A 12,189-nucleotide genomic window follows, 5' to 3' on the forward strand; every position below is an offset into this window, starting at 1 on the left:
CATTCAAAATGTGTCTGTCTTGAGCAGCATGAGCCACCAAATTTTAATGACAGACATACAAACACATTCATCCAGAACTACCTGACTGGATTAAAAATTCCTATCCTATTAAAATAATATGTGATGCTCTCTGTGCAGGCGTAATTGGTATTGATGTGGGAGATGAAGTATCAGTGTAATATTCCACGATTAGTTGTGCAGATCTGTTCAGTCCCCCTTACAAGCTCAAAGCTATGAATAGATTCAGTGAGTTAAATCTCAAAAGCCATTCAGATGGGATTCAGGCATTATTCTTTAATCATTATTAAAACTGAAGTCTACAGTGGGAGGGGGAAGTGGAGGATGAAAGCAAGGCTGAACTAATCATACTCTTATTCAGTCTCTCAGGGAGTCTTAATTTAAGCATTTTTTCTCCTGGGGTGACTCTGTCCCTCTACTCCACTTTCCCCGAAAAGACAGAGCTATCCCATGACTATGGTCCTCACAATGAAGTTCTTTTTTTCTTTATTTATTTGCTATTAATTTAAATTATTATGGCTGTGTTACATCTTCGTTTCAGTCCAGTACTGTGGTGCAAGTTGTAACATTTCTGTTTTCATTTCAGAAAGCTTCTGTTATTTCTATCTGTGGATAAGGTATAGGAGAGGAGGGGAAATAAAGTGAAAGAGTTGTTAGCTTTTCAATGCAGTTATTGCTTGAAGTTAAAATATGCATATGCCTGTCTGCCCCAATCCAGAATAACAACACTAGATTTCCTATGTTAAAAGATACAATAAAAAGTAATATTTTAAAAAATAAGTTTTATTAATACCAGTAAAATTATTTTTTTAAATAAGAATTGCCCAGTTAGAAATAATTTCAAGTATCTCATGGAATTCAATAAACTTTATTTAGTAAAATAAACGAAATTTATCCATTGTATAGAACATAAGAATGGCTTCTAAACTATCTTTATGCATCTGGCTAGATGGGAAAACGCTCTTTCATTCAATAGTGAAGTTATCTCTTGTAAAATCAAACAGATTTAACCACCTCTAACTGCTGATGTGAATAGTTTGGGCCAAAGAGCAGACTTATGGATTCAATTGTCATTTTTGGCTTCTAAAATAGAGCCAATCTGCCAAATAATAATAATGGTCCATGTCTGTACTTTGCTTTACGCGTATTATCTCACCCCTCATGTCACAGCCTAAGCGGCACTTCCTCCATGCCACTTTTTCACCTGCCCCTGTGTTAAGCTTTGTATGCCCAGAGCAGCATTTAATTTTCCCATGGCTATGCTACTGCAATTACAGTTACATTTTAGATTCCAGTGAACTGTCTCACTTACCCATTAGGCCACCTTTATGCCTACGCCATTCAAAATTTATTGAGGTAATAAGTGGAGTGCCTGGCACATGGTACCCCATTATAAATATTTCTAATATTGTTGTTGACAGAATGGAAAGAGATTCAGAGAGAATAAGTGAATATCAAGACAAGACAGAGAGTCAGAAAGTCCCAAATGCCAGAGCCAGAAGCAGAACCCAATCTAGAACAGCTTTGCTGGGACTAGAATTTGTCACTGCTAGCATACTGCTTTCCCCACAACATGGTCTCCCTCTCTGGGCTGTGGACAGAGACAAAGATTACATTTGGCAGTTGGCTACAATGCAGACATCATGAAATGTTCTCCTTATTTTAGATGCATTTCATTCTCAGAAAGGAATATAAAAGATTAATTTAAAAGACCAAAAGTGGCAAAGCTGAAATAGTTTAAGGAACAATATAAACAAAAATAATAATCCTGCCAATCTAACAATTTATGTCACCTTGTTGCTTTTTTTTCTGAGCAGACTAGCTACTTAAAAGCATACTTTGAATTCAATTTCCACATAATGTAAGCTCCTCTAGGAGATGAATATTCATCAACAATTAGTATTTCTAAGGATGCCTAGCTTGCTCTGTATCTCCTTGTAGAGCACTTCATAAAAACAGGTATTATCATTTATCACTATTTATTTTGCCCCAGATGTGAATTTTAATGTATCTAAAAGGGCTTTTGCTTAGATACTGAGAACACTGCCCTTTTTTTTTTTTCTTTTCCCATACTGGCCCAAAGACTCTCAGAATAGGGTAGATTACCCTTAATTACTAGAGGGTGTAAAAACAAATTCCCACAAATATGGTTAATTTTCTTTCAATTTCTGAGACTACTGGAATTAATCCAAACACTAAAAGTTTATGTCCAGGCCATTTGCTGAAATAATGCTATGTACATTTTCTAAATGCCTAATTGATTGAAAAGTATATTACAAAACTGTTTTTCACTTATTCTGCAGCTGTGCATTCATGGTGTTTTGTTTAAAGAAAAAAAAAAGTCTTCTCAGGAATTAATTGACACAAGCCAGAACTTAGTGGCCAATTTAAGCACTATCTTTCATTTTCTATAAGATCCACTTTGTGAATAAGTAGCTCCATTATCCTCAAACCCTAGCAATTTAGGATGTGAATACCACGTGAAATGTGACATTTTCTTATCCTGCAATACCTACTTGAAAATGAATAAGTGCTAAATTTTGTTTTGCCTAGGAATTAAATGCTAATAACCTGTCTGTCTTGATGCAGACTCCAGACAAGATTCTAATATGACAAATCCAGGAGTTAATTCATCCTGTTATCTACATTCCTGAAACTAAACTACAACACGGATCTTTTGTTATATAATTTACATCGAGTCCCTAAAAGATATATGAATTGAACAAGATGATTTTATATGTATATTACTTAAGATTTGCAATTCTGCTCAGGAGAGTCTATTAACTCGTGTATGGCCCAGCAGTTTTTTTAAACAAAAGGAAAGAAAAAGAAAAATGAGCCCAAGGCTATCAAATTATCATTTGATCATTCCAAGTGAGATTATTTCCTTCTGATCCCGACTCAGGTTTCTTCTTTATATTAAATTGAACAAAATGAAATACAATGATACAACTACAACTTTAGCACAAGTAAATATATACATATTTTTTCCAGAGTTTATTTTTAGTTGAACTCAACCCTACAAGTCTTGGGAATCAGAAAACAAACAAGTCATTCATAGATGCTTCTCTCAAAAACTTAAAATATAATTGAGAAACCCACACCCAGTTGTGATTTTAAAAAGCTGAATATGAGAAGAGTAAATGTATAGAGAGCTTTGGTAGCACAAATGAGAACATTACTTCAAATGGAGAATATTATACATGAATCATTGATTCACAGAATGAGTGGGTCCCTGAGCAGGAAATAGAAGGAAGGCTAAAGAATTATGACGCATAAATGTAGAAGAGGGAAAAGCTGAGGAAAAGCACAGTATGAACACAAACACGTCAGGTGGATTTGGGAACAAATTATATTACCTCATTAGCTTAAACATAAAGTAGATCAAATAGAGTAGGAGACACGTATGGAAGTGCTACCACTGGCAGAAAAACCTATCCTTCCTCCTCCTTCTTTACCTGACACAACCTTCTCTTCCATTCTCTAGCTCCTTCAGTGAACAGTCCTATTTGCCCCTCAACATCCAGGCACCTGAAGCTGCAACAAGAGTAGCTATTAGTTATCTATCACCGCATAACACTTTACCCCCAAAATATAGCAGCTTGAAACAATATACTTTTTTTAATCTCATCGTTTCTATAGGTCAAGAATCTTAGGGCATCATTGCTGGGTCGTTCTGGCTAGGGTTCTCTGATAAGGCTGGAGTTGAGCTGTTGTCCAGGGCTATAGTTGCCTCAAGGCTTGATTGGGGCTGATAATTCACTTCCCTATTTACTCTTATAGTTGTTGGCAGATTTCAGTTCCTTACAAGCCATTGTTGGAAACCACCATTTCACCATGTGTGCTCTCCATATTCTGCCTGAGTGTCCACGTGACATGACATCTGGCTCTCCTCAGAGTGAATGATCCAAGAGTGATCACAAGTGACAAAGAGAACACACAAGATGGAAGCACAGTCTTTATAACCTAAACTTAGAAGTTACCTCCCATCAGCCAGGTGCGGTGGCTCACGCCTGTAATCCCAGCACTTTGGGATGCTGAGGTGGGTGGATCACTTGAGGTCAGAAGTTAGAGACTAGCCTGGCAAACATGGTGAAACACAAAAAATTAGCTGGGCGTGGTTGCGGGCACCTGTAATCCCAGCTACTTGGCAGGCTGAGGCAGGAGAATTGCTTGAACCCAGTAGTTGGAGGTTGCAGTGAGCCAGGATAGCACCATTGCACTCCAGCCTGGGTGACAGAGGGAGACTCCATCTCAAAAAAAAAAAAAAAAAAAAAGAAGTTACCTCCCATCACTACAGCCATAGGCTATTGGTCAGTCAGACCAACCCTGATACCATGAAGGAGAGGACTACACGAGGGTGTGAATATCAAGAGACAGAAATCATCTTAGGTCTTCTGGGAAGCTGGCTACCACTGCAAACTAAGCTCTGTGTTCATACTGAGTGTCCAGAGTCTAAGCTGGCCAGGGAGTCATTGTTATCACAGACCCATTTCAGCACTTTGGAGCTTCCAAGCAGAGCAGTGCCAGGGTATAGACCACCTGGATTTAGAGCACTTGGATTTGAATTCAAGCTTGCTATGTTAGTAACCATGTCACTTTGAGTAATTTACTTGACACCTCTGATCCTAAACTTCCTGATCTAAATAATCTACATAATCGGAATAACAACTGTGTAACAGATGATAAATTTAAATAGTCAGTTTAAATGCACATTAATTATATGTAAATTAATATATAATGTTCACACATTGATAACATGTACAATATTATATACTCAAAGTATATGTATCACATGGAGATTCCAGGCTTGTTGATTCTGTTGCTTGCTATTCAGAACATTAATTTTTTTTTAAGTTTTTGGCTTCCTTAGGAAAAAAGCATATGATCTTTGTTATCTGCAGGCTTCTGAGGGCCCTAAATAATTTTATTGTCTCTCAAGGATTTATATTGATTTAAACTAAAGTATATGATCCACATACTTTGAGTATATAGTAGATAAAAACAGAGCTAAATAGTTTGTTTTTTTTTTTTTTTTTTTTTTTTTTGAGACAGAGTCTCACTCTGTCACCCAGGCTGGAGTGCAGTGGTACAATATCGGTTCATGGCAACCTGACCTCCTGGGTTCAAGCGATTCTCCTGCCTCAGCCTCCCAAGTAGCCGGAATTACAGGGGCCAGCCACCACTCCTGGCTATGTTTTGTATTTTTTAGTAGAGACGGGGTTTCACCATGTTGGCCAGGCTAGTCTTGAACTCCCGACCTGAACACAAAGATCAAAACCAGTATCCTTTACAAGGATGTAGGAGACAACATTAAGGCTTTGCTATTGGATTGGTATTGCCTGATCTCTTATTTTGAGAAATAATTATATTTCTCAAAAATATAATAAATAGAAACAAATCATGTAATGCATGTTGAAACCTGTTTTAGTTTCCTATTGCTGCTGTAACAAATTATCAGAAACTTGGTGGCTTAAAACAACAACTCTCTTACAGTTCTGGAAGTTAAAAGTCTGAAATAAGTGTTATGAGCTAAAATCAAAGTGTGGGCGGTCCTGGCAGTACTTCATTCCTTATGGAGGTTCTACAGAAAAAAAAAAAAAAAATTTTCCCACTGTATAAGCCAGCTGCATTCCATGGCTCGTGGCCCCTTGCTCTATCTTCCAATTGTAACACTCCATCTTCTACTTCCATCATCATCTTCTTTCTCTAACTTTGACTTTTACCTTTCAAGAGCCCTTGAAAGAACTTCTCTTTCAAGAACTCTTGTGGTTACATTGGGCCTACCTGGAAATTTCAGGATAAGCTTCCCATCTAAAGATCTTTTACTTTATCACAGGAGTAAAATCCCTTTTGCCATGTAAGATAACATATCCATAGGTTCTGAGATTAAGATGCTGATATCTTTGTAGCTCATTATTCTGTCTACCCAAAACCCACAGCGAGTTTTGTTATGAAATAAAAACCTCTACATAGATAAAAAGCATTTTTACAATTTTGTTGTTTCAAATATCAGATTTACCTGTGGTAAAAAGAATGATTTGATCATAAAAATCACAGGGATTTTAAAAGATATTGCCATTGGAAACTCAAATTGTATTTATATAGGATATATTAATTCAGATAATTATTTTGAGCATCATAAAGCAAGTCTAATTATCTCTCTCTTAAAAATCAAATCAGCATTCTGTTTCTATAATCTCACCTATATTGCTGCTACCCTTTAAAAACAAAACAATAAGAACAAATCTCCTTTTAAACTTTAAGTATTATTTTATTGGCTACAGCTAACTTTATATTTTAATCAGGAATAATAGTGATGGTATTCAACATTTTGTGCTTATAGTATATTGCTATACTTAAAATGGCATTAAAATATTCTAACTTAATATTTCTACCATAGTTATTTTACACATTACCTTAAAGTTCATTTGCTGTAATGCATGCATAATACCTCATAATCATTTGTGCAAATGCCATTTAATTGATTCAATTAAAATAATTATAAGCCAACTGATAAAAAATATTTGCATCTTAAGATGGAATTTTCAATTTGTGATTATGAAATAATAATATTTCTAGGTGAGGAGATAGAAACTTTTCACATCGTATTTAGTGATATGCATGCATTATAATTATATTTGTACTCGGTAATCAGATAATTTTTAGAGCTGTATCTGATTTTTTAAATTTCAAATAATTTCTTATGTAATATGTTGTCATTCAAAAATCCTGTTATAATTCATTTTGAAATCAAATGCCATTATTATTAATGGTGATTCAGAGATAATCAACTAAAAAAATGGAGGCTTTGTCTACACATAATAAAAGTACTCTGATTAAGGAAAGACTACCCTAGGTTACCAAGTCTATACTCTGTTTAAAATCCTGCACAGGTTTTCCACAAAGCCGTGATTCTTCACAATGGCCACATAATAAAATCTTCTAGTATCTTTTCAAATTACCATTTCCTGGGCATTAGTGAGATTATCTGGGTGGCGGGGGAGGCTCTTGGTATCACTGTTTTGTTAAAAACTCACCAAATAATTTTATGTGCAATCCAGGTTGAGAATGATTGCCATGAGCAAATAATGATAAATGACAACCTGCAACTGCACTGCTTAGTCATCTGTAGTTACCTACACTTAGGAACTGAGTGTCCATCCAATTCATTGATGATCGTTCATAATACACAAATTCTCTATAATTTTATATATGTACAGTAAATAATTTATATATATTTAAATTTACATATACACATGGTGAATTCATATATATATAGATACACTGTAAATGTATAACCAATACTGAAAATGATTTTCTTTTTTTCTCCCAGCCAATTGTTTTTAATTATCACCATTCTTCAAATTACATTACATTTTTAGACCTAGGTAAATAGAGTCAAATCCAAATCAATTAATGACAAAGAAATATTTCCTAAATTCATGTTCTCCATGATAATCACTATTGTCTGAATTTCTATCAAATGGTAAATGTCCTAAAAATAGAAATTTAAGAATTTTTATGTATTTATTTATACATGTGGGAAAGGAGTTGCCATTGAATGGACAACCACTGCTATGTACCCAGAACTATGATAATTACTTTGACTAATTTAATTTTTTAAATGACCCCTTTGAGGTAATATATTACTGTTTGTGTTCTTTATAAAATAAATTTATTTTGACAAAATTAATAAATGATGATTTTCATTGAAATAATATGAATAATTTCTGGTGACTCTGTTTCATTCAGTCACACACACACACACACACACACACACACATTTCTCTATAGAAAATATACAGCATTATTTTGTGTTTTTTGTTTGACTTGTTTTGTATAAGAGTCATTATGTTAATGTTGACTTTCAAGGATTTTCATTATTCTTTTTTGTTTGTGCATTGCAATCCACAGACTGGATAAAGTATAATTATTTAGCTATCCCCATATTGATATATTTAAGATGTTTTCATTTTTTTGTTATGAACCTCATTCTTGTGGAAATAATACTGCAATGAACATCCTTCCTGTGGAAATTGGTGGGTATTCCTGTAAAATAGATGCTAAGAAGTGAAACTGCTGTATCATGGAATGTGTGTACTTTTGGATTTAAAGAGATAATGATGAATTGCCTTACATATGACTGTGGAATTTTACATGATAACCATCAGTGAATACTCTTTTTACCATTTCTTTGCCAGATCTTGCTATCATCAAGCTTCCATTTCTGCTATTCTAACGTGTAAAAAATTAATATCTCACTTGTTATAGTTTGTATGTTCTTAATTATTAGTGAGATTGAACATCCTTGTATATACTTATTGGCCATTTCTCTTTCCTTTTCTATGAGTTACCCAGTTATATCATCTATTTATTTTCTATTCGAGTACTAATCATTTCTTTGTAATTAATTTTTTAAATTGTGATATTATTTTTTGTGTATATTTTCTTCCAGTAAGTCATCTGTATTTTGGTATCATTTATGTACTATTCCTGATAAATGTTTTAAAATTTTATATCGACCTATGTATCATTTATTTTCTTTTGTTATTATGTCTTTTATTATTTATGTTAACATAGGCTTTTGTATTTTATATCTTGTTTAAACAGAGCCTTCCTTTACTCCCAAATTCATAAACACTATAATTCTTTCTAATACTTTATGGGTTTTTTAATGTTTAGGTTTATAATTCATTTGAAAATTATTTCATGAATGGTGTGAAATAGGAGTTTCTTTTAATTATGTGGAGTAAATTATACAAATGCAGTATGATTATGTAAGTATGCATCTATTGAATAAATCACTTTCTCCACAGATCTGAGACACCATATTTATTATAAACTTTTATAACATGATTTTGTATATGAACATCATCTGCTCTATTGGTACAGTATTTGTTCTTGTACTCATACTGTATGATTTTAAGGAATGATATCTTTATAAAATCTTAACCAATGATAGGATAATTCCTACTCCCTGGTTCTTTTTTAGGACAATCTTGGCTATTGAGTCTTTTCTATATGGATTTAAGATAGATTATCTGGTCAAGTTCTACCAAAAACTTGTTAGAATTTTGATTGGAGCTTAATTTGATTTACAAACTAAGTATTGTCTTCTTGAGTATATTGTATCCTCCCTTATATGGATAAGGTATATCTCCCTATTTATATAGATTCTTTTTATCCCATTAATAAATTTGTAATTTTTAAATATATCTCACACCCCTTTTTAAAGGGTTATTTCTAGGAAGTCTGTAATTTGTGGTGTTATAATGAAGCAATATTTATTTCATCTTATTATTATTTGGGGAATATATTTCTTCAGTGAGGAACTAGTGAGTTTCATCTGCTCATTACCCTATATCAAACAGAATTGATCATAGATTGAGTTGTCATTCATTCCGGTCTTTAAAACCAGCAAGCTCTGTGAGGACTGATAGTACTAAAGTTGGAACTCTTGCCAGTTAAATCTCTTGGGCTTCTAAATATCATGTTCAGAAATAATATTGCCTGAAAACATTGTTTGTCCTTTCTTCCTTTCTCATATTTCTAACTCATCTATCTTTGTTGACTTGATGTATTTACTAGAAGCCTCAGAAAATGTTAAATACTAAGGGTTTTAGTGGAGATTTTAATTTTCCTCTAATATCAATAGGCATGCTTTTACTCTCTAACTATTAAATAAAACTTTACTGAAAATTCCTTCCCTAGGCTAAGGAAATTATATCTTGAAATAATTTTTAAAATTTGGAGTTTTGTAATAATAAAATGTATTTCACCTATTTTTAACAGGACAAACTACTACCAGATGTATGTATTAATAAAACACTAATAGGTTTTTCAGAAATCTTTCTAAATAATTATGATAGTAATAGCAGTTACAAATGTCTGTGTGCCTCATTTATGGATAATACAATAGATGTTTTATGGATAATAAATACAATAGATGTTTTTTATACACTTGTTTGATGACAGTACAATATTTCAGTAGTCCTTCTTAGATTATAAAATTTAAATACTATGCCCAAATTCACTCAGCTAAAAAATAGAGCTGAGACTTGGACTCAGATCTGAGTGATTACATCTGCCACCACACTGACATTGTAATCTGAATAGAAGTTAGTTTCATAATAAGCACCAGAATTAAAATATGCATGGTAATATTTAATATTTAAATGTCAGTACCATTGTTTATAAAATGCTTCTAACAACATCCATATGAGTAGGACACTTCTACATCAACTCAATCTGGCCCTTGAGTTGCTTCTTGTACCTTAAATTTCAAAGAGGCATTGAAAGAAAATGTGAAAACATTACAATATTTCAGAGAAAGGAACCATGGTTCAGTTTCTTTGTACAGTTTTAAAATGTGAAAATATTAAAATACTGCCTATTTTAATTTTTTATATTTTATCTATCTTATTAAATGTGAAAATATTAAAATAAGTCAGAGACAGCAACTGTGTCTCAGTTTCTTTGCACTGTTATTCATAACCTTTTGCCCTGCTGACACTCAGCCCACATTAGCAACTAAATAACTAACCTTGATTTGGTTTTTATTATATAGTTCAACCCCTCAGTATCACCAGGGAAACAAAATGGAACAAGTCATATTCATATGACAATGACTCAATACACGAGGAATTATACTCTTTGGGTTTTTAGTTACAAGATACATTTATGAAAATATCTTGTTCTTAATTCTGAAGAGCCTACTCCTGTTTCACTTTGTTGCATCTCCCGAAGTTTCCAGAACACCTATATTACTTTACCCTTGAAGCTGGGACAGAATTGTGAATTGGACACATTTTCTTCTTAAGGATTTGTGTTTCCTCCAGGATAAAATGTGTTGAGTGTGTTTTTAAAATGCTACTTGACAGCTAGAAGTGAAAAATAGTGTAAATTCTGACCTTGAAGTTTTTCTATACACTTTCTTGCAACTGGATAAAGTACTTAGTTTATTCCATATGGAGTTTTCCATCTTGTTTCATATAACACAGCCTCAGTCAAAATTGTCTGTACATTAACTATATCACATTACAATGTTTGTTAACCTGACATTCAGTATTATAAAATGGAACACATTGAAATTTCTTAAAAGCCAATCTCAAAGTTTTATTGAATTTAAAATGCTATGTGTAGTACTTCTAAAATAAAAATGAATTATCCCATTTAATTTTAGAAATCATTTCTGTACTTAATTCCTAGACATTAACCGCTTCAGGAATATTTTAAGCATACTGGAAAAGGGCTCAGATTTAAGTACATAAAAATATGGGAGGAATATATTTGTGGCCAATTTTAACCCTGACTTATGTGAATATACTTGCTAGATATTAACTATTGCAGGTACAGCATAAGATTTATTGAAAAAGATGCATGAAGGCCAAAAAAGAAAGATCATGTTAAATAGATAGCAAATTAACCAGAGATCTGGTTTGTAGATTATAAGACAAGCTAAGTTTTTGTGAAATTACTTATAAAAATGAACTTAAGACAATGTTATATAGTGGTACAAATTGGCTAGCAAATAATAATAACAGCCTCTTCTAAAATTTTTACTGAGTTAAGCCTCTTTCTAAGCTCTTTCCATTTAATAACTCATTTAAACTTTCCAGTAATCCTATGAAGAATTTACAGACAGAATTCCAGTTTTTCCAATAAGCAAATAGAGGCTTAGTGAAATTAATGAACTAGTAAGTAGTACACCAAGATTTTAAATCCAGGCAATCTAGTCCAAGAATCTGTGACCTGATATGCCAATGATTCAAAGTACAGTAATAATAAAATCAAATGATTATTAGAAAAAATGTTTTTGTTAATATTCTATTTGTCTTTTTGTAATGATACAAGAAAAAATGAATTTAATATATACATATTTGCAAGAGCTATATTGGTCATTGACAACTGTAAAAAAAAGAATTCAATAAAATTATAAAAATGACTCTGATGACCAAAGAAGCAATTTTGAAATTTCAAGACCTAATTCCAACAATGCATATAGGCATGTCTCTGGCAAAAAAAAAAAAAAAAAAAAAAAGAAGAAAAAAAGAAAAGACTTTCTGTCAAATAGAATCTCTATATTTCATCTCATATTCTTTCCCTCTCCACATGTTTCTCCAAGTCAAAGCCTGTGAGCCACATGAGTTCTTGGTTGCAGTAATAGAA

At 32.8% G+C, this 12,189-nt stretch overlaps 1 long non-coding RNA gene across 1 annotated transcript in view; it reads right to left on the reverse strand.

Moving 5' to 3' along the window:
* Window positions 1-274: 274 nt before the first annotated feature.
* LINC01950 (long intergenic non-protein coding RNA 1950) overlaps window positions 275-12,189 on the reverse strand; it is a 195,818-nt gene continuing 183,903 nt past the window's right edge. Inside the window, exons 3-4 of the long non-coding RNA NR_104671.1 lie at window positions 3,477-3,555; window positions 275-624 (exon numbers count right to left, since the gene is read on the reverse strand). This is a non-coding gene — a long non-coding RNA (long intergenic non-protein coding RNA 1950). The remainder of the gene's footprint in view (window positions 625-3,476; window positions 3,556-12,189) is intronic.

This window comes from Homo sapiens, chromosome 5 (assembly GCF_000001405.40).
Source record: "Homo sapiens chromosome 5, GRCh38.p14 Primary Assembly".
Classification (NCBI taxonomy): Eukaryota; Metazoa; Chordata; class Mammalia; order Primates; family Hominidae; genus Homo; species Homo sapiens.